At 37.0% G+C, this 24,773-nt stretch overlaps 1 long non-coding RNA gene across 7 annotated transcripts in view, besides 1 other annotated feature; it reads right to left on the bottom strand.

Moving 5' to 3' along the window:
- The window catches only part of LOC105375523 (uncharacterized), a 459,019-nt gene that overhangs the window by 123,981 nt on the left and 310,265 nt on the right, over positions 1-24,773 (bottom strand). The gene's annotated exons all lie outside the window — the stretch shown is intronic.
- Positions 23,398-23,598: a silencer, noted in NCBI's record as "peak6758 fragment used in MPRA reporter construct". NCBI's record gives its function as "represses an SCP1 promoter by STARR-seq MPRAs in K562 erythroleukemia cells {active_cell/tissue: K562}" and the evidence as "EXISTENCE:reporter gene assay evidence [ECO:0000049][PMID:32103011]".

Raw genomic sequence — 24,773 nt, 5'->3', positions numbered from 1 at the left:
TTTATTGCAGCACTATTTACAATAGCAAAGACTTGGAACCAACCCAAATGCCCATCAGTGATAGACTGGATAAAGAAAAGGTGGCGCATATACACCATGGAATACTATGCAGCCATAAAGAAGAATGAGTTAATGTCCTTTTCAGGGACATGGATTAAGCTGGAAACCATCATTCTCAGCAAACTAACACAGTAACAGAAAACCAAACACTGCATGTTCTCACTCATAAGTGGGAGTTGAACAATGAGAACACATGGACACAGGGAGGGGAACATCACACACAGGGGCCTGTAGGGGGGTCATGGGCAAGAGGAGGGAGAGCATTAGGACAAATACTTAATGCATGCAGGGCCTAAAACCTAGATGAAGGGTTGATAGGTGCAGCAAAACACCATGGCACATGTATACCTATGTAACAAACCTGCACATTCTGCACATGTATCCCAGAACTTAAAGTAAAATTTTTTTAAAAAGATAAACAAAACTGATAAAACACTAATCTAATCAAGAAAAACAGGGAGAATATAAAAATAAACAAAATTCAAAATGAAAAAGAAGACATTATAACTAATATCACAGAAATAAAAATGATTATGAGGGGCCGGGCGCGGTGGCATACACCTGTAATCCCAGCACTTTGGGAGGCCGAGGTGGGTGGATTGCCTGAGCTCAGGAGTTCACAACCAGCCTGGGCAACATGGTGAAACCCTGTCTCTACTAAAACACAAAAAATTAGCTGGGCATGGAGGCATGTGCCTGTAGCTCCAGCTACTCGGGAAGCTGAGGCAGGAGAATGGCATGAACCCAGGAGGCAGATGTTGCAGTGAGCTGAGATCACGCTACTGTACTCCAACCTGGGTGACAGAGCAAGATTCTGCCTCAAAAAAAAAAAAAAAAAAAAAAATTATGAGGAACTACTGTAAACACCTGTATGTTAACAGCATAGAAAACTTATAAAAAATTGATATATTTCTAGACACATACAACCTATCAAGATTGAATTAGGAAGAAATAGAAAATCCAAACAGACCCAAAACAAGTAACAAGATTGAATCCATAATAAGTAGTCTCCCAACCATGAAAAGCCCAGGATCTGTTGGTTTTATTGCCAAATTCTACCAAACATGTAAAGAAAAATTTACAGCAATTCTCTCCAAGTCATGTTTAAAAAAACAAAAAGAGGGAATTCTCCCTAACTTATTCTATGAGGCCAGGTTTACACTGATACCAAAACCAGGCTAGGACACAACAACAACAACAACAAAACTACAGCCAATATTCCTGATAAGCATAGATTAAAAATTCTCAACAAAATACCAGCAAATTGAATCCAAAAGAACATCAAAAAGATAATACGACATGATCAAGTAGGATTTATCTCAGGGATGCAAGGATGTTTTAACACAATACATGTGATACACCACACCAAAAGAATGAAGGACAAAAACCATATGGTCATCTCAAAAGACACAGAAAAGGCATTTAATAAAATTCAGTGTCTTTTCAAGATGTAGTCTCAGCTACTTGGGAGGCTGAGGCAGGAGAATGGAGTGAACCTAGGAGGCAGAGCTTGCAGTGAGCCGAGATTGTGCCACTGCACTCCAGCCTGGGCAACAGAGCGAGACTCCGTCTCAAAAAAAAAAAAAAAAAAAAAAGGAAAAGAAAAAGAAAAAGAAAAATTCTCAACATACTAGGAATCGAAGGAACATACCTCAACCTAATAAAATCATATATGACAAATCCACACCTAATGTCATACTGACAAGGAAAAGCTAAAAGCATTTCCTCTAAGAACTATATACAACTAGGATGCCCACTTTTACCACTCCTATTCAATCGTACTAGAAGTCAAAGCCAGAGAAATGAGTCAAGAGAAGGAAATAAAACACATCCAGACTGGGAAAGAGGAAGTCAAATTGTCCTATGCAAATGATAAAATCTTATATTTAGAAAAGCCAAAAGATTCCACCAAAAAACTCTTAGAACTGATAAACAAATTCAGTAAAATTGCAGGTTACAAAATCAACATATGAAAATCGAATGCATTTACAATTCATCAATAATGAAATAGCTGAGAGAGATATCAAGAAATTGATGTCATTTACACTAACTACAAAAATAAGAAAATATCTGGGAGTAAATTTAACCACAGAGGTGAAAGACCTCTACAAGGAAAACTACAAAACACTGATGAAAGAAATTGAAGATGACAAAAACAAATGGAAAGACATCCCTGTTCATGGATCAGAAGAAATAATATTGTTAAAATGACACAATTACCCAATGCAATTCACAGATTCAATGCAATCCCTATGAAAATGCAATGACATTTTTCACAGAAATAGGAAAAACAATCCTAAAATTTGTATGGAGCCAAACAAGCCTGGACAGTTAAAGCAATCCTGAGGAAAAAGAACAAAGCTGGAGATATCAGAATACCTGACTTCAAAATATATTATAAGGATATAGCAACCAAAACAGCATGGTATTGATATAAAAACAGACACATAGACAAATGGAACAGAAGAGAGACGTCAGAAATAAATCTATTTATTTATGAACAACTGATTTTTGACAAAGCCACCAAGAACATGCATTGGGGAAAGGACATCTCCTTCAATAAACGGTGCTAGGAAAACTGATATCAATACATAGCAGATTGAGACTAGACTGCTATCACTCATTGTATTCAAAAATCAACTCAAGATGAATTAAAGACTTAAATATAAGACTTGACACTATAAAACCACTAAAAGAAAACATAGGGGAAACACTTCAAGACATTGGTCTAGGCAAAGACTTTATGGCTAACACCTGAAAAGCACAGGCAACAAAACCAAAAATAGACAAATGGGACTATATCCAACTAATAAGCTTCTGCACAGGAAATGAAAAATCAATAAGGTGAAGAGGCAACCTGTTGAATGGAAGAAAATATTTACAAACTATTCATCTGACAAGGACTAATAGCCATAATAAATAAGGAACTCAACAGTGAGAAAACAATCCCATTTAAAAAAGTAGGCAAAAGACATAAATAGAAATTTCTCAAAACAAGACATACAAATGGTTAAGAGGTATATGAAAAAAGATTGAACATCACTAATCATCAAGGAGATGCAAATTAAAACCACAATGAGACATTACCTTACCCCAGTTAAAATAGCTATTATTAGAAAGAAAAATACAATAACAGATGCTGGTGAGGATGCAGAAAAAAGAGAGCCCTCATACAGTGTTGGTTCGAATGTAAATTAGTACAACCACAATGGGAAACAGTGAAAGATTTCTCAAAAAACTAAAATTAGACCTACCATGTGATACAGCAATTTCACCACCAGATATTTATCCAAAGGAAAGGAAATCAGTATATCAAAAGGATACCTGCACTACCATGTTTATTGCAGCACTAATCACAATACCAAAGATATGGAAGTGTCCATCAATAGATGAATGAATTTTTAAAATGTGTTCTATCTACACAACAAAATATTATTCAGCCTTAAAAAAGAAAACCTGTCATTTGCAGCAACATTGATGTAACTGAGAGTCATTATGTTAAGTGAAGTAAGCCTGGCACAAAAAGACAAATACTGCATGTTTGCACTCACATGTGGGAGTTAAAAATGTTGATCTTGTGGAGGTAGAGAGTAGAATTATAGATACTAGAGGCCGGGAATGGGTGTGGGTGGGAAGGGGAGAAGGAAGAGAGGTTAGCTAATGGTTACAAACATACAGTTAGACAGAATAAGTTCTAATGTTCTTCAGCAGAGGAGGGTGACTATAGTTAACAACAATGTATTGAATATTTCAAAATATCTAGAAGAGAGAACGTGAGATATTTTCAACACATAAAAATGATCTCATATTATGTATCAGTAAAAAATATGATAACCAGGCCAGACTGAAAGACAAAAAAAACAAAAAACAACAACAAAAAAAAAAAAACAGAAGTGAGAAAAGGAATAATGCTACAGGGTAAGAATTGGGAGAGGGACTTTTACTTTTCATTTTATACCCTTTGCACCAATTTTTAAAACGTATCAAATACATTAATAAAAACTTTAAATAACCATAACAAATTGTAACAATAAATAAGTTAAATTGACATGATAGGAAGATATGGTTCATGACTTCAAAGAATGCACTATCTGTTAAATAAGAGACAGGCTAAAAGTCTCTTAGCGGAGCTTAGATTTTTCCTGGTGACCAAAACATCATTACTACTCCCGACTGCATCATGTTTATAAAATAGCCAGGAGTCTTCGCACTCCACTAGCCACAATCTCCTGAGCAACGTTTAACCTCAATTTTGCTGGTTATCTTTAAATTTCCTATTTGGAAGCGAAGAGAAAATCTGAGCTAGAACTAAGTAGAGTAATGTCTGCTTGTTTCTCTTGACTGACCTCTGTCATCTCTAAGTATCCCATTGAAGCCTATTTCTCCTACTTGAGTACCTTCAAATTTATTTAATCTCTGCCTTGTTTGAACTACCAGAGGAATAACAAGATGACAATTACTTTTGATTTTGCCTATCACTTTCTTTCTCTGGAATATAATCTTAGTGACCAGGGCAATGAAGGCTACTTATCATCCACTTCTGGAGTATCAACTGCACTTGGGTGATTATGTAGAGACTACACAAGTTCAAAGACCCTGGGTAGAAATGATTCCAACAAGCAGGGGAAAGGAAATTAGTTCTGTGACCCTAACCCAGAATTCCTCTGGATCTAAAGGACTGGCATGCTCTGAACCAGAGAGGAAACGTGAACATTCTAGAACAGATTGAAATCCTGAGTCATGGCATTAAAATAGTGCCCAACCCTCTTGCCTTCCTCTCCAGGGTTCTGACAGCAGGAGAGCTTGGTTATATCCAGACGATCTCTTTCAGCTTCAAATTATAGCTTGGAAACCTGAAGAAACTGGAGCAGATGGTTGACTTCATGCATCATTGAAAGACCTGTAGTCCTCTCATATATTTGGCAATACTGCTAAGTAAATAGAACAAACCCCACTTCAACTGAAGTCTACTTAACAATATATTGCTGTGTGGGACAACATATCATTGTATGGACAAAATTTAATGTGATAAAAACAAGAGGCAACCAGACAAACAGGTATTTAAGAAAATATACATAGCTACATACCAGAAGTAGGCTACTGTGAAAATAAATTACATCTAAGCCTTCCAAAAATTACATTAAGAAATGTAATCAACAGAATGGGCTCTTATGTACATGTAATTTATCTCATCGATTATCTCAGTGCACTTGACACATAAGCAACAGCATGTGTAGCATAGGTGCTGCCCGTGGAAGGTCAGTGGCAGGGTTTTCAATAAGGGTTTTCTCATGATCCCAGAAAGAACATGATCTCAACAATCTGTATTCAACAGAAGGTTGAAGGCTATTCTTCTTTATAAGCAAAGGTTGCCACACATACCGGCAATATAATTTCATGGGACACTTGTAGCCACATTACCCCCAAATGCCCACCATTGCCTCAGTTCCAGACCTGTTGTAGTATCATCCCATATTCTTCCCTGATGGGGAACTTTATATTTAAATAAGGCAGCTGTAGGCCAAGCGTGGCAGCTCACGCCTGTAATCCCAGCACTTTGGAGGCCAAGGCGGGCGGATCCCGAGGTCAGGAGATTGAGACCATCATGGCTAACACGGCGAAACACCGTCTCTACTAAAAATACAAAGAATTAGCCAGGTGTGGTGGTGCATGCCTGTAGTCCCAGCTACTCAGGAGGCTAAAGCAAGAGAATCACTTGAACCCAGGAGGTGGAGGTTGCAGTGAGCCGAGACCACACCACTCCACTCCAGCCTGGGTGACAGAGTGAGACTCTGCCTCAAAAACAAAACAAAACAAAACAAACAAACAAAAAAACACAAAAAATTAAAATCCTGGCTTTTTTCTTAACTCTACAAAGTTGATAGTTTAACTGGGCATAAAGACATGACACATAGACTAGTGATGTTAGAACCTGGGTTATTCTCAGAAACAGCTCTGGAACTTTTTTAAAAAATTGTAAATTATTGTTCTGCTCCAACCTCAGACTTTATGATTTGATCCAGAACCTCTAGGACCTGGAATTGCGTTTTTAAAAACTTCATCTATTGCAGTGGGGTAAATCTAAAACTCCTAACATAGTCTCAAGAAAAAAAGAACAAATGAAACTATATAAAACCCATATCCTTGGCTTAACAAGAAAATAACATCAAAACTTCAAAATATATATAAGTAGAAATAGACACAACAAATCCCAGCAAGCTATCTCTAAAATAATGATATAAACTTTTGCAGAGAGCAAGGGCAGTTTGGAAAAAATTGTGCAGAAGACAGGAAGTGAAACCACCGCCAAAAAGAAAAAGTCAGCAATAAGAGTGAAAACACCAAAAATGTGTCCTGGTAAAGCCAGGCACTGATTTCATGAAAGGACCTAAACATCTGCTCAGGATGTGAGGAGGCAATCTTAGAAAAGTAACATTCCTAGGAAAGAATAAGGCAAAAAGGAAGAAAGTGGTCCCCTTTGAAAAGCCTGCAGTAAAGTAGAACAAGCAAAAAAGGGAAAGTTAAAATCTGTAAGTATAAAGTAAAATAAGTTAAAATAAAAAATTAAAGGGCATGCAAACACTTTTCTTACTGCTCCCCTGCCGAAACAAAAACAAACAAAAAAGCAAACAAAAAAATTAATAAAATTTTAAAAACATCCAATGTAGAAAATCCATACCTCACTACATTGACAAGGAGGACGCTCTTGAAATACAGACACAACAATGCAAATCTCCAACTCAGTGCACAGAAACATAAAAGCACAAATCATTTCACCTATATAAAATTACTATTAACATAAAGTGGAAAATGCGAATGCAAGCAATTCAGATAACAAAGTATCTCTTTGCCCAAAGCATATAATGAAGCAGAATAAAACTGAAACACAACACTACAAGCTAAACTAAATATTGTCAATCAGTATTGGGATGTGAAAAAGCCAGAAATTTAAAAACTAAAAACAGAAATGGGCAGAAAAGAAAGAAGTAAAATGATAATTGATAAACGGAAGGAAAAAGTACAATAAAAATACAAAATTTTACCAGAAACAAAGACTAAATCATATAACATCCAAGGAGGAATACAATTAAATGAAAATATAGTAAGAGAATATAAAAAAAAATTAGAAAGACAATAACAGGATTTCAAATGAGATGATACCAGTTTTAAAAATTAGAAAATTGTTGGAAAAGAGCAGATTAAAAAGGCAAAAAGTGGAAGCACGACAGATACAATTTACATGTAATTACAGGACATAACTTACATGTTACAAGGACCCACAATGTACATAGGAAATTGACCCTTTATCAAGATATATGCTGGTAAAATATTAGACTTCACAAAATTTCAAAAGTCAGTTCTTCCAGGTAAAATATAAAATATATTACAGGAACAAGAGAATTAGATTAGCATCAGAATACCCACAAACAACCAACAAAGTAAAGCAACAATAAAATAGCATTTTTAAAAATCTTCTAAGAAAGAAGTGTGAATCAGGTTTTTATATCCAGCCAAACTATCCATCAAGTATAAAGGCCATAGAAAAACTCTTTTAAACATTTGATTAGAGAATTATGTAACCTTGGGGAATCAACTAGAAAAGGGATTGGCAAATAATTTTCTATAAAGAGACAGAGGTTACATGTTTTCTACTTTGCAGTCTATTTGGCCTCTATTGCTGTTATTCAACTCTAATTCCAAGTGTGAAAGTGGCCATAGATTCTATGCAAACAAATAGGTATGGCCAGATTTGCCCCACAGAAAGCTGAAAATAAAAAATTAAAAATTAAAATAAAAAATTAAAGGGCGTGGAAATACTCTTCTTACTGCTCCCCTGCCAAAACAAAAACAAACCAAAAAAGTAAACAAAAAATTAATAAAATTTTAATAACATCCATGTAGTTTACAGACTTCTATACTAGATGATAAACTTCATTCAACCAAGAGATAATTAAGCATATAATATGTCAAAGTGTGTTGAGTTTAATTTTTAACACGTTAAATAATGTTATTTCTTTACTATGTTAAAGTATGCTTAAGGTGTAAGTTGTAGTTCTAAAACTAAAACAAATGTGAGGGCAAGTGCAAAAGAATAATAATATATATGATGCATGCTACATGTTACAAGCACTGATAAAATATAAATGATGTAATAACTATATAATGATGTAACTAAAAATGAAAGGAGACGAAACTAGAAGAAAACAAAATAAGTTCATTGGCTGTTTTTTGAGCAATAGATGGAGGCTAAAATATACTGTTAAAAACTGATAAATCAGATAAACACTAAAAAAAAAATGTAGGTGGAATAGAACATTTAAAAAGGTTTAAGAACCAAGTTAACAGGCTGGGCATGGTGGCTCACACCTGTAATCCCAGCACTTTGGGAGGCCGAGGCACGTGGATCACGAGGTCAGGAGTTTGAGACTAGCCTGGCCAATATAGTGAAACCCCATCTCTACTAAAAATACAAAAAATTTGCCAGGCATGGTGGTAGATGCCTGTAATCCCAGCTACTTTGGAGGCTGAGTCAGGAGAATCACTTGAACCAGGGAGGCAGTGGTTGCAATGAGCCAAGATCACACCATTGCACTCCAGCCCGGGCAACGGTGCAAGATACCGTCTCAAAAAAAAAAAAAAAAAAAAAAAAAAAGAACCAAGTTAACAATATAGAAGAAATACAAATGTTCTTTAAAACTAAAAGAAAATTTTTAATTATAAGGTTAAAAAAATACACCATATAAAGAAACATAAAAAATACAATACACACGACTGTAATAAAGTAGTCTACAAGAAGTGTGAGCTTAACTCATCCAGTAAAAGACATTAAATTTAACTCACAAAGTAAGACCTAACTATTGCTATAATCAAGAAATATATCAAAACAGAATAATTCAGAAAGGCTAAAAATAAAGGAATGGGCAAATGTATGCCAGTCAACTACAACTAATGAGAAAACAAAGGTAATGATAATTATATCAGATGAAATAAAATTAAAACCAAAAAGAATTAAACATGAAAAAATGAGAGTATTTGTTATTGTGAAAAGCCACAGTTCACATGAACATATATCAATTAAGAATAAAGGACCAAAAATCTCAGCAACCACCTACATAAAGCAAAAATGACAAGAGATCCAAGGAGATAAAATAATAATAAGATGATGATGAATTTTTAACACTACTCTCACTACAAAACAATTTAAATGGAAAAAAGTAAGCACACTGAATACCTAAAGAACATAATCAATAAGCTAGTTCTTATGGATAAATATCAATTTTTACATCTTAACAACAGAGAACATACTTTTTTCTCAAGCACACCTGACACATTCACAAAAATGGTCATGTATTAGGTCAACACACAAAAAATCAGTAACTTCCAAAAGTAGAAAAACTACAAAAACGTCTGATCACAAAACAAAATGAAAAGAAAATTTAAAAAAACTTATAAATAGATATTTCCACTTAGAAATCTTAGAACTTTCTATTAAAAAATACTGAGTGGAAGGATAAATATAAACCAAAGTTATAGAATTTTAAAAGATAATAATAATGGAAACATTATATCTCAAAATACATGGGATGTGTGGGACATATTTAAAGCAGCAATCAGGGAAAATACAGAGCCTTAAAGATGTTTATCAATAAAACCAAAAGAATAAAAATAAAAAAAAATTCTCAACTGAAAATACTTAAACACTGATAATACAACATATTGGTGAAGATACGGAACAACTAAATATATCATAGATTGTTACTGAGAATAAAAATTTTAAAATAATTTGGCAGTTATAAACTTAAAGATAGATTTATCATGAGACCATGTCATATCACTCCTAGGTATTTACCTATGGTGTACTACAAGAGATATATGGTGGCTGTAAGACTAGTGATAGCTATAAGGCCCACTCAAACCTCTCACAGGGCCTGCACTACATGTTGCTTAGCAGTCTGCAACCTGGCCTGGGGATTTCTAGGAGATAAGACCCCCTGAGCACAGATGCAACTCTCATAAACCTTAAGACAAAGCTTACCCTTACAAAAATAGCTTAAACTCCCTTTAAAGAAACACCTGGTAACTGATTCAGACTGGACACAGGTACAAGAAAGGGAGCCGAATGCCCCAAACCCTGAGAGGAGTCTCCTGATGGAGACTTTCCCATCAGACAGTCATCCAACCCCCTGGCTGTATCTGGCCTATACCACCAGCCTGCTCCCACTATCTGTCCTACAAGAGTGCTGCAAGAATAAATTGAACATCAGACAGAGTCTAAGACTCCTCTTTGAGATTAATTGGACCAAAGGGGAAAAATTTTCCCTGGGGAAGCTGGTTAACTAGGATCCCCAAGAACCCCAAACACAATATTACCCAAGTGAAATAAAAACATACATCCACACAAAGATTTCTATGCAAATAAATATAGCAGCTTCATTCTTAATAGCAAAACAAAAACAAAACATGAAAATAAGCCAAATACCCATCACCTTGTAAATGAATAAATGAAATGCAGTATAGCCATATGATAGAATATTAGTCTGCAATTAAAAGGAAAAAGCTACTGACAACATACACATACAATGATATGGATAAATTCCAAAAGCATTATGCTTAGAAAAGGCAGAAAGACTCAAAGGACTACATATAGAAGGATTCTACTTATATAAAATTCTATTCTAAGTAAACTCCACACTCTCTCTCCCACTGATAATGACAAAATTCTTAGTCAAAATATGTAAAGCAACTACTTAAGGATTCTGAAAAGTAAATAATATCAGGTGAGTTAGACAGGGAAATAACAACTCAAAGAAACACCAACATAATATCTCAAAGAGTAAAGTATATATATTGTAATTCCTAGAAAACAATTCAAATACATGAAGCAAAAACTGATAGAACTGAAAGGAGAAAATGACAAATCCAAGCTTATAGCTAGAGACTTCAACACTACTTTCTCAGTGATCAATAAGCAAGTAAAGAGAAAATCGGGATGCATTAAGAAAACACAAACAATACCAAAAAACAACTTAATTGAAAAGTACAGAATATTCTTTTCCTGCAAAAAGCAGAATACACATTCTTTTCAAGAGCACATGGAATATTCACCAAAACACACCATGTCTTAATCATAAAACAAATTTTAACAAATTTAAAAGAATTGAAATTATGCAAAGTATGTTTTCTTATTACAATGGAATTAAACTAGAAATTAGTCACAGAAATATAGGAAAGTCTTCAAACGCTTGGAAATGAAACATTACACTCCAGGAAGAATTCTTGAAGGAAGTGTATTAGTTTCAAAGGAATTCTTGAATGAAGTGTATTAGTATGCCCAGGTTGCTATAACAAAAAAAACCTCAACTGGTGGCTTAAACAACACATTTATATCTCACAGTTCAGGAAGCCGAAGATCAAGGTGCTGGCAGATTCAGATCCTGCTGAGGGCTCTCTCCCTAACTTGCAGACAGCCACCTTCTCACTGTGTTCTTAATGGTGAAGAAAGAGAAAACTCTGGTCTGTCTTCCTGTTCTTGTAAAGATACTAATCCCAGCATGAGAGGCCCACTCTCATTAATGAAAAGAGCTTCTATCTAAGAAACTAGGGGTGAAAAGAACAGAATAAAACCAAAGCAACCAGAAAAAAAAAAGGAAAGTTATAGATAAAAGAAGAAATCAATGAAATTGAAAAGAGAAAAACAATAGATGAAAACAATGAAACCAAAAGCAGGTTATTTGGAAAGACTGATAAACTTCGTGTCAAACTGATCTTGCAAATGTAAATTTATCTCATATTCTGACTTATGGGAGGGATCTTCGTTTAGGTCTTTAGACTATTGACCTTAGGTCTTCAGACTTTATGTCTACAACTCTCCACTTCCATCTAATGTCAGAGTACAGACAATGCAGAAAGTTTCTTCTAAAAAGGGAAATACACCTTCTAAATGCTCAAATTTCTTTCTTTCTTTTTTTTTTTTTTTTTGAGATAGAGTCTCACTCTATCACCCAGGCTAGAGTGTAGTGGGGCGATCTCGGCTCACTGCAACCTCTGCCTCCCAGGTTCAAGTGATTCTCCTGCCTCAGCCTCCCAAGTAGCTGGGACTACATGCACATGCCACCATGCCTGTCTGATTTTTGTATTTTTAGTAGAGACAGGGTTTCACCATGTTGGTCAGGTGGTCTCAAACTCCTGACCTCATGATCTGCCGCCTCGGCCTCCCAAAGTGCTGGGATTACAGGTGCGAGCCACCACGCCCGGCCCCTAAATACTAAAATTTCAATATAGCTTTATGAGTGCTTATGACACATACACAACAAAGTATTTGGTAACATTTCTTTAAGACAGAGCTGAATCACAAGTGAATCACAAGCATATGAGGTGTAATCCATTGATAAGCCACATCTTAATTCTGGTTGGTGTCTACACAGGAGCTTTCTCCAGCTTCTGCCTCTCTATGGCCTCCTTCCAGAATCTACATCTTTGCTTCCCAAAACATGATCTCAACAACTGCCCTGTAATAAAGTCAACTCCCCCACCCCACCGCGTGCCACCCATAAAGGTTATTTGGCCACAACTCCTTTACTTTAGCAGAAGCTTTCCAACTTCCCCTGATATATTCTTAAGCTTGCTATTTTTACAACTATTTCAAAACCAGGACATTTCTGACTCATGAAAAATCTTCAGTTGTTCCAGAGCTCTGTAGATCTATGACCTCAAGGAATTTGCAACTAAGTTGCCTGAGAGGGAGGAGGAACACCAAATAAATACAAAGTATAGCAGACAATCTAGGCCTATGAGAAATGCTTAGATTCCTGTGGTACCAGTTATGAATACTATAGAATTTTAGAAAAAGTGAGATGAGAGAGAATTGTAATGGTCTTCATATGTCAGGTTGTACCTAGAGGAAAACACAAGGTGCTCAGAAAATGGGAACCACAGGAATGAAAGCACAGCAATAATAATACCCAAGGAGCAGGGAAGAGGCTAGCATGACTAGAGCACAGATTGCATATTCGAGGTGAAATACAGTTTGAGAGACTTGAAAAATCAAGAAGATGAGTTCAGGCCAGGTGCAGTGGCTCAAGCCTATAATCCCAGCACTTTGGGAGGCCAAGGCGGTCAGATCACTTGAGGTCAGGAGTTCAAGACCAGCCTGGCCAACATAGTGAAATTCCATCTCTACAAAAATACAAAATTTAGCTGGGCGTGGTGGTGGGTGCCTGTAATCCCAGCTACTCAGGAGGCGGAGGCAGAAGAATCGCTTGAACCTGGGAGGCAAAGGTTGCAGTGAGCCGAGATCGCACCACTGCACTCCATCCTAGGTGACAAAGCAAGACTCTGTCTCAAAAAAAAAAAAAAAAAAAAGAAAAAGGAAAAAGCCAAAAAAAAAAAAAAAAAAAAAAAAAAAGCCAGTGGGAAACAGGTGCAGAGAAGTGATAGACGAGGAAAGTGATTTTGGGGGAAGGTGAATGGAGCAGAGAGTACATTGTGCTTGGAGAAAGTTTGACACCAGGCAGGCCACCAGAAGTTATCCCTAGATGACAGAAATGGAAAGAGAAAATAAAAGACAGATGCAAAAGGTTTTCAAAGATGGCACTGAATGTACTTAGTGAGCAGGAGCAGGAGATAAAGAAGCAATTGAGTTTCTGGGAGAATATGACTAGGTAAATTTTAAAAACAGCAAAACAAAGAGACAAAATAAAGGAACTAGTTGTGGGAGAGATGATAAGGGGCTGAGCATTAATTCTAAGTGATGACAACATTCTTGAGTGGCAATGTTCTTTCTCAGCAGAGATTAGAGTACCAGAACGGGAGCATAATTATCTACATAGAAATGATAAAGTCACAAAAAAATTGATGCCATGGGGAAAACCATTAGCAAGAGAAAAGGATTAAAAACCATTAAAAATAAAACTCTTATTTAGTTTTGCAATTAATAAAACAATTTATATTTTTTCCTCTTTTTTTGTCTTCAACGTTTAAGTTCAAGGATACATGTGCAGGATATGCAGGTTTGTTCCGTAGGTAAACATGTGTATGGTGGTTTGCTGCACAGATCATCCCATCACCTAGGTATGAAGCCCAGCACATATTAACTATTCTTCCTGATGCTCTCCCTCACCCCACAATAGGCCCCAATGTGTGTTGTTCCCCTCCCTGTGTCCATGTGTTCTCATCATTCAGCTCCCAATTATAAGTGAGAACATGCAGTGTTTGGTTTTTTGTTCCTGCATTACTTTGCTGAGGATAACGGCTTCCAACTCCATCCATGTCCCTGCAGAGGACATTATCTCATTCCTTTTTATGGCTGCATAATATTCCATAGTGTATATGTACCATATTTTCTTTTCTTTTCTTTTTTTTTTTTTTTTTTGAGACAGAGTCTCTCTCTGTTGCCCAGGCTGGAGTGCAGTGGCATGGTCTCTCGGCCCACTGCTACCTCTGGCTCCCAGGTTCAAGTGATTCTCCTGCTTCAGCCTCCAAAGTAGATGAGATTACAGGCACCTGCCACCATGCCCAGCTACTCTTTTGTATTTTTAGTAGAGATGGGGTTTCACCACGTTGGCCAGGCTGGTCATGTACCACATTTTCTTTATCCAGTCTATCATTAATGGGCATTTAGGTTGATTCCATGTCTTTGCTATTGTGAATAGTACTGCAGTGAACATACATGTGGATGTATCTTTATAATACAATCATTTCTATTCCTTTGGGTATATACCTAGTGATGGGATTGCTGGGTCAAATGGTATTTCTGCCCCTAGGTCTTTGAGGAATTGCCACACTGTCCTCCAAAATGGTTGAACTAATATACACTCCCACCAACAGTGTGAAAGTGTTCCTTTCTCCCCGCAACCTCACCAGCGTCTGTTGTTTTTTGACTTTTTAGTAATAGCCATTCTGACTGGTGTAAGTGGTATCTCATTGTGGTTTTGATTTGCACTTCTCCAAGGATCAGTGATGTGGAGCTTTTTTTCATGTTTGTTGGTTGCATGGATGTCTTCTATTGAGAAGTGTCTGTTCATGTCCTTTGCCCACTTTTTAATGGGGTTTTGTTTTTCATGTAAATTTCAATGTTTTCCAACCATCCAATGAGGAGGGAAGGAAAAAGATGAGCTTGTGCAGACGGCAGAGGAACAGTTGTGAAAAATAGAGAGGTTAAAAAAATCTTTAAAAAGTTATTGTTTGTCAGTGGTGTCCAATGTTACAGAGGTCATGGGGAATGAGGATAGAAGGAAGAAAACTAAGCTTAAGAATTGAAAAGTTATGGCCAGTGGTTGCCAGGGTCCAGAGGTGAGAGCAATAAGGAGTTGTTGTTTAATGGGCATAAAGTTTTAGTTTTGCAGGATGAAAAAGTTCTGGAAATGGATGGTGGTGATAATTACATGACAATATGTAATCATTCTCCTTAATCTCTTTGTAACATTGGACACCACTGACAATAACTTTAAAAAAATTTTTTTAACCTCTCTATTTTTCACAACTACTCCTATGTTTTCTGCACAAGCTCATATTTTTCCCTCCCTTCTCATTGGATGGTTGAAAAACTTCAAAATTTACATGAAAAACACAACCCCATTAAAAAGTGGGCAAAGGACATTTGGATATAGCCAATGCAGAATGATATTTCTTTGAGCAGGGTCAACCCAGTGCCTGAATATGAGCCAAATATTTTTCTCATAATTAGATGTTTTGCATTCATTTGGCTAGTACAGGTATTCCTTGCTATCCTTGGGGGTTCCAGGACCCCCATGGATATCAAAATCCATAGATGCTCAAGTCCCTGATATAAAATGGGATAGTATTTGCATGAAACCTACACATATCCTCCTACTTTTTTTTTTAGAGTCTCACTCCATCTGAAAAAGAAAAACAAAAACAACAACAACAAAAACAAACCAGGCTGGAGTGCAGTGTCACTATCTCAGCTCACTGCAACTTCTGCCTCCTGGGTTCAAGCAATTTCCCTGCCTCTCCCTCCCTAGTAGCTGAGATTACAGGCGTGTGCCACCAGACCCGGCCAATTTTTGTATTTTTAGTAGAGACGGGGTTTCGCCATGTTGGCCAGGCTGGTCTTGAACTCCTGACCTCAAGTAATCTGACTGCCTCAGCCTCCCAAAGTGCTGGGATTACAGGCATAAACCACTGTGCCCAGCCCTCGCATATACTTTAAATCATCTTTAAATCGCTTATAATACTTAATATAATGTAAATGCTGTATAAATAGTTGTTTTACTATATTGTTTTTTATTTATAATATTTTTATTGTTGTATTTTTATTGTTTTTTTTCCAAATATTTTTGATCCACAGTTGGTTGAATCCAGGGATGCGGAACCCACAGATAAGTAAGGCTGACTATACCCACACCTTCTGACATTACTGTGGTAAATGAATGTTTTGTGGTGTGGGATGAGGGTGGCTCTGCAACCATAATGAAACTTGTCCCTCTGAGAATTCAGGCTTAACCTCTTAGCCAAATCATTGCTGGCCATTTTTAAGACTTGGTTCAAACAAAACAACTGCACTTGGCAGTCTAGGGAGGTGGGGAGTGAAATCGTTACATTACAGAGTGAGAAAAGTCACCTTAAGTTGTGAATAAAGTATATACCACATTAAGAGAAGCTAAGAAAAAGTTTGTCCCTCAAAGTTGATGTTTTTCATCAAAAAGAAGAAAATTTTTTTAAGTTGTATAAGATGAAAATTGGATTTATCTATCTGTCAAATATGGCAGGAAAGATCAATTACCAGCCTGCAATAAGTAATAGAGTCACATTTCATTTAATGGCATGGAATGTGTAACTTAAATGTGTGGGGTCCTCACTGTGATGGGATGGAATGTGGTACACATCTTTTAAATCTCAATAATTTCGTTGCAAGTCTGTCTCATTCTGGTAGTTAGGGCCACATTTAGTGTATGGAAGTAAAACATTTCCTCAAGCACCATCAGGTAAGACAGCATAGAGCATGCCTTCCACAAAAAACATATTGGGTTTTTTTCTTAAAATTTTTAAAATAATAACGTGAATTAGGCTATAAATAGAAAGCCAAATTATATTTTAATTGCCAAAACATAATAAAAAGACTATCTCCTTGAAGGAAAAAAAAAATTTAAGTGTTTTTGAGTCAAAGAAAAAATAATCAAAACTGAAATTTCAGACAATTTAGAAATTACTGAAGAGGTGGCTACAATATTTTTTGTGAAAAAGATCAGAGGCAAAATCATAGCCATAAATACTTTCACTTTTTTATACTAGATAATGCCAGTTTAAACTTTTTTTTACTATATAATAGTTGTACTTATTTTGGAGATACATGTGATATTTTGATACTATATACCATGTGTAATGATCAAATTAGGGTAACTGGGAATCCATCACCTCAAACATTTATCTTTTCTTTGTGTTGAGAACATGGCAATTCTCTTCTAGCTATTTTAAAATATATATCAAATTACTATTAAGTATAATTTCCCTACTCTACTATCAAATACTAGAACTTATTTCTTCTCTCTAACTGTATTTTTTACCCATTAACCAACTTCTCTTCATCGCGATAAAAAGTAATGTGATAAGCATTTACCTCAAAAAACTAAGAAAAACCAACTCCAAAACATTAAAATATAGTCACTAAACCTGTGTAACATCTAAGGCATGTCCATAAAATAGAACACTCTGGACATTCTGTTTGATTAGGTACCCATTAGGTCCTATTCAGCACTACATGTACTGAAATGGCATATGTCCAAAAAGCATTACACGAAGAGACCAAAATACAGAATTACTAACATGGTATGCCACAATTTATGTTTAGTTTTTCTTTCTTTTTCAGGTGAAAATGCATGTCAGTTCCTAGATCATGTATAAATCAAAACAAGAAAAGGATGGGAAGTGGGTAACTGAAGGTCAGGAATGGGAATGCCATAAATTTTACATTTTGGACTTTTCAGAGCTTTTTTGATTTCTACAAGAATCTATTATTTAGTCAAACATATAAATGTAAAAGTGGTCAGGGGAGCAGCTACACTTCGCAGCTCATTTTTTATTCCCTTTGAAGACACATAAAGTTCCTCTTGGCCATGGGCTCTCCCTTCCTACCCCTCTTCAACCCACTCCAACTGAAAGCCAAGTTTTCTATCCCTTCCAGACTCCCCAGTCAATGTAGGAAGGCCTCACAGGCCATGAGGTTAGCCCAGCCACCATTTTCTCCCATAACCTCACTTCCAGATTGGATAAGCCTCTATGTTCATAATGTCTATTTTCTCTTTTTCCTTTGATTCCCACCCATACTCTTTCCACTTAAAATCAGTACCGTGTGCCTATCCAGGAGTACTCTTGAGTGAAATATATATATAGTTCTCAGGGGCATTGACTTTTTGTCATTGACATTGACATCGTTCCCGTCTAAATATTTTAAATGTTTTTGAAATTATTTTAAAGACTTTTGTGTAGTATTTCTTAAGTCTACATATGTCCATGGCTCCATGCTAATTATTTAATGCCCATGAAAGTAACGCAGTAATCCGTGTCTATGTGAAGTTATTTGGTAGGTGTGTATAACCCTGTAAGATGGCTAAAAACTCAATCTACCAAAGACAGAAACAAATTCAGTGATACTGCAACTTATAAGAAGGAATATTTCCTATATTTTGAATTTTAAGCCTTTTTGCTTAATTCTTATATTTTGTATTCACACTTTTATTTCATATTTGCTGCACACCTGAGCCTCTCTCAGCTTCAGGAGAAGTCACTTGCCCTAGCTACTGCTGCCCCCAAAATTCTGCCCCCCAGCTTTAATTCCAACTGAATATGATTCAGAAGTTGACATGTTACCACCACTGCCTGGTTATTAAGAGAAGACGCCCTAAGGAGTGGGATAGCAAATGTGACAATCTTGAAGCCTGGTTCTCCTGTGTAAGATGTAAAGGCAATATAAAGGCAATATTCTTTCCTTACATACATTTTGAATGAGTACTATGTGCAAAATTGAGCTGAGTTCCCTGCATGTTTTTATGTTTACAACTGAAATAATTAGGGATCACCTTTCCCATAAGCCATCAAATAAATCTATCCTGTCTGGGATTTTTTTTTTTTTAAATTTCTAGGTACCATCTGTGTCAGTTTGGGTTGCTATAACAAAGTACAACAGATGGGGCAGCTTAAAACAATGCAAATTTATTTTCTCACAGTTCTAGAGTCTAGATCAAGGTGTAGGCAAATTTTGTTCCTACAGAGGTCTCTCTTTCAGGCTTGCATATAGCCGCCTTCTTGCTGTGTCCTCATATGGCCTTTCTTCTGTGTGTACACTTGTCTGTGTCTTATTCCCCTCTTCTTATGAGGGCAACAGTCAAATTGCATCAGGGTCCACACATACGACCTCATTTTATCTTAACTACCAATTTAAAGGTCCTATTTCCAAATATGGTCACATTTTGAGGTCCTAGGTTGAGAATGTCAACACATGAAGTTAGGGGGAAGAAATAATTCAGTCTATAAAGTTGACTAAAATATATTAAAGTCTGACTACAATATTGTCCTCTAGGATTATGTCATGGGATATAACTAGGTGAAATTTTACAATGGGGTTCTTTTCATACTTTCATAATTAAGATTTCTGGATTTTATGCATATAATTTCATTGACTTCTACACATAAAGCACAATTAGGCAGTGTTTCAGTGTACAAACTTTTGGGAAAATTATTTGCAAAAAAAAAAAGAAAAGAAGAAAGTCCTAATAATTCTGCTGCCTGCATCCATGTTATTCTGCAGTGCTCTTCCAAATTGAGGCTGGTCTTAGCCATATGACTTACTTTGACCAGTTAGACAATAATGAAAACATAAGCAGAGGCTTTAAAATCACTTGTGAATTGGAGCTTGTCCTTTTGATATTTGGGAACCTTTTCAATGATGTGAATAAGCCCAGGATGCAGGATGATGAGAGACACATGGCTCATCTCCCTAACCACAGCCAATTGTCAACCTAGCCCCAGAATCGGAGCCAACTGATGTGACCGCATTTATGCCAGGTGAGTCCAGCCAAGATCAGCACACCACCACCCAGCTGAACTCAGCCCAAACTGCCAACTCATGGAATCATGAGCTAAATTAATGGTTGTTGTTTTAAAGCAACAAAGTTTTGAGGCAGTTTGTTACACAGCAAAACCGAAACAATACAATGAAAACCTCAGACCTGCCAGGCGCGGTGGCTCATGCCTGTAATCCCAGCACTTTGGGAGGCCGAGGCGGGCGAATCACGAGGTCAGGAGATCAAGACCATCCTGGCTAACACGGAGAAACCCCGTCTCTACTAAATAGACAAAAAATCAGCTGGGTGTGGTGGCGGGCGCCTGTAGTCCCAGCTACTCAGGAGGCTGAGGCAGGAGAATGGTGTGAACCCGGGAGGCGGAGCTTGCAGTGAGGAGAGATGGTGCCACTGCACTACAGCCTGGGCGACAGAGAGAGACTCCGTCTCAAAAAAAAAGAAAGAAAGAAAACCTCAGACCTAAGAATCTCATGGCTTACTTATTTAAACACAAATGAATAGAATTAACATTTGCATGTTAAAGCATCAACAATAGAGTTGGTTAAAATCTTCAGAGATTAAAGAAAAGCCACCAAAAGTGAACTGATACATATTAAATAGGCTAAGAATAGCCAAGATGGATTAGTGTATGCCACAGACAAAATGTTGGCAAAATGATGTCAGAATAACTCAAAAAAAGTGCCAGGTGCAGTGGCACCTGCCTGCCACCTACAGGTGCATGCCTGTAGTCCCAGCTACTCTGGAGGCTGAGGCAGGAGGATTGTTGCTTGATCAGGCCTGTGGATAGCACTACACTCCAGCCTGGGTAAAATAGCGGGACTCCCATCTCTAAAATAAAACATAAAAAATATTGTTGTCCCTTGGTATCTGCAAGGAATTTGTTCCAGGACTCCACTCCTCAACCCCCCAACCCCACCCACCTCATATACCAAAATCTGAGGATGTTTATTTCTCTGATATAAAATGGGGTAGTATTTGCATATAACCCCATGCACATCCTCCAGTATATCTTAAAACTTCTCTAGATTTGTTATAATACCTAATATAAAGTAAATGTTATATAAATAGTTGTTATACAGTATTGTTTTATCAATATTATTTTTATTGTTGTAATGTTATTTTTATTGGTTTTTTCCCCAAGTATTTTCAATCCAGGCTTGCCTGAATTTGTAGATGTGGAATATGCGGATATGGAGGGCCAACTGTGTTAAGACAGATCTGGCCAAAATCACAGTTGCTGCAGTGAAACCTCACCCCATGTTATAGGATTCCCTTGTGAAATGGGGTAAATTATAACTAACTTGAGTGAAGACTAATATAATTCAGTGGTAGAAATCTGAAATATAGACTATTTAAGAGGAGTATACCATAGCATCTTAAGTTATACAAATCAATGGCTAACAAAGCGTGGCCATGAAAGGATTTTTGCTAAACCAAACTGAATCAATACATAAAATGGTTTGCCATTGATTCATGAAGAGTATGTCAATGAGGCACAAGAGTGCTAAAGAATACAAAAAGAAAAAAGAATACAAAATAAAACAAAAAAGAATGAAAGAAATAACTCATTTCAGTCTTGATCAGCAGACCCTGGTAACAAACAGCATGCAATTCACCTGGCAGAAGAGGAGAAAGATGAGTTTTCAAACATTGAAGGCTGTGAGATTTTTGCTGATGACTCAGCTTTCTGAGGCAGGCAATTCCCTATGCAAAGCCTAGCTCAGCAACTCTAAGGAGTGGATAATGGTTCATTGCTAATTTGTGTCACCTAGATAAATTAGTCTGTCTGCTCAGGTAGGAAAAGACAGTGGCTGCAAAGCCCAAATTTGAATTCAATGGCCAGATGTGGCAGTTCATGATGAGGGTCCCTGGGGATGCACTAAGAATGCAATGCCACCTGAGACTCCTCACCATGAGAGATAAAAACTGGCAGAACAGAAGTTCAGTGACAAAAGAGCAGAAGTGAATGCATACAGTGAGGATGACTATATATTGATATAATATATTGTCCAAACCAAGACAACTCTGGGAACAAAAATGGGTGCCATTAATAATTATGCTGATACCACAGGTATGAACTGGAACTGTCCCAATTTTGAAGTCAAGAGTTCATGAAATCATTATCATACATAAATATGTATCATAATCAAAGAGAATCTGAAAGGGAAATATTCTAAAAACATACGAGGAGATAAAGACGAAGTAGGTAGAAGACTGTAACTTTGGGGAAAAATGTCTAGAGTCACTCCTTGGGGAAGAGGCAGCCCATACTCTCTATATCAAGGAAGATTTGTAGCTTCAAAAGATCCAGAAAACCAATCAACTGCCGCAGGAAGAAGAGATGCATCATAGATGCTGGTGGCTCACCGCTGAGATTCAACTGCTTATGAAACAAACCAGGCTGAATAAACAGTGAAGAATGGACACCTCTGCTATCAGGAACTCACTACTCACTTCCTTTTTTTTTTTTCTTTTGAGATAGCGTTTCACTCCGTTGCCCAGGCTGGAGTGCAGTGGCACTATCTCGGCTCACTGCAACCTCCGTCTCCCAGATTCAAGCAATTCTCCTGCCTCAGCTCCCCAAGAAGCTGGGATTACAGGGACCCACCACTATGCCCGGCTAATTTTTGTATTTTTAGTAGAGACAGGGTTTCATCTAAACACACACTTATCGTTGTGGTAAGAGCTAGGAGGAAAACAAAAACAAGGACATAATAGACCATATCTATGGGTGGTGAGTAAAATGATGGATAGTTGATAAGTAAAGGACTAAGAAAATGACTTTTGAGCTGAGACTCAAAAGTAGAACTGGTGATGCAAAGACAATGGGGGAAGAAACATTTCAGACAGAAGAAACAGCTGGTACAATAAGTTCTACAGCAAGAACAAGCAATGTGGCTGGAATAAAGGAAAGGAGGGAGAGTGATAGAAGATGAGATTAGAGAGTTGTGGGGTGGGTGCAAATAATATACAAAATTAGGGGATTTTATTTGAGTATACCAAAAAATAATTAGAAATTCTTTGCAGAAGAGAGACATGATTCGATTTACCTTATAAGTACTGCAATTGCTCCCTGGAGAACATGTTGTAACCAGAAAAGAGAAGAATTTGAAGAACAGTTAGTAGGCTGCTGCAATAGTCAGGCAGAGAGATGATTTGGATTAGTACAGATGGAGAGAAGGTATTTGGCTTGGGCTATGTTTTTTATGACTGGGATCTGGAGCTTGTGAGAAAGAGACACAAAGAAAGGTAGCATTTACCCAGCCAAGTGGGAGGATGGTGCAACAAACAGAGAGTGGAAATTGGGGAAAAAAGCAGGTTTACTTCTGCCTTGCAAATATTAAACTTGAGATGGCCATTAAACTGCCAAATGCAGAGGTCAAAACAGTGGTTGTATAAATGGCTCTGAATCTCAAGAGAAAGGCCAGAACTGGAGTTATAAATTTTTTGAATCATTGAATGTAAATGTCATTTAAACCAAAGTACTAAGTGAGATTAGGTATGGGGAAAGAGAAAATAAAGAGAAGCTAATTGCGTGGGACTCGTTTTAAAATTTAGAGCCTGTATTGAAGGAGTCAACATAGGCAACTAGAAAGAGTAGCCAATGAGGTAGAAAGAAAACAGAAAATGTGGTGTCATAGAGGCCAAGAAAAGACAAAGCATTTAGAAAGACAGGGCCATCAGCTACATATGCATGCTGCAGAGTGATTAAGAAGAACAAGTAGATGCAATCTTTGAATTTTGCAATACAGGGATTAATAATGATATTGACAAGGTAAGTTTCAATAGCATGGTGGGGACAGGTACTCTACTATAGTGGGTTGAAAGGTAAAGAATTAGAGACTGTGACTTCAGACACATATTTCTAAAGTTTTGCTGTGACTCCTATCCACTCCTATAGAATCACGTGAGATGAGTAATAGTGCTCATAGAATCTGGTCCTGGAGATTCATTTCTATGTCTCTGGGTAGCTTAGCAGAGAGCTGCCTCAGGAAGTCCAAGTTAGCTCAACAGAAGAACACCAGTTACTGAGATCCAAAAGTTTTCTCCTTCCATGAAGACCACTTTTTGAACAAAAAGCACTCATGCTTACGTTGTTATTTACATAAGGGGTTGACAAACTATGGCCCTGTGGGTCAAATATGACTCATTACCTGTTTTGTAAATAAAGTTTTGTTGATATACAGTTATGCTTATTAATGTGCATATTAGCTATGGTTGCTTTCATACTATGCTGGCAGAGGTGAGTACCTGCAACAGAACCTGTGGTTCACAGAGCTAAAATTATTTACTCTTTAGCCCTTTACAGAAAAATTTTGCCAACTCTGAACTAGACAACTAGTCTTTAAAAACAGGCAGTCTTTATAAATATACAATCCCTATAGATATCTTTAGATACAGCCCCTATAAGTATGGAGAACATTGCAGGGGCAAGGTCCTCCACTGAATCATTGGCCATGGTGCATTCATTCAGTTCAGCTATGCCCAGGTTGGATCAACAACTTTCTGGCAAAAAAAAAAAAAAAAAAAAAAAAAAGTGCTTGAGGAATTGCATGTGCTCTGCTGCTTCTCACTTCTCTGCTTTTGCATTTTCCCCTCCTAAGTCCTATTTTATATCTGTATCATGCTAACTATAATGACCATGTCTAGGATCCCTTTGCCACATGAAAGGAA

The sequence above is a fragment of the Homo sapiens genome, chromosome 7 (genome assembly GCF_000001405.40).
Source record: "Homo sapiens chromosome 7, GRCh38.p14 Primary Assembly".
Lineage (NCBI taxonomy): Eukaryota > Metazoa > Chordata > Mammalia > Primates > Hominidae > Homo > Homo sapiens.
Note: the sequence above shows the minus strand (reverse complement) of the source record. Positions and strands in the feature narration are given on the sequence as shown.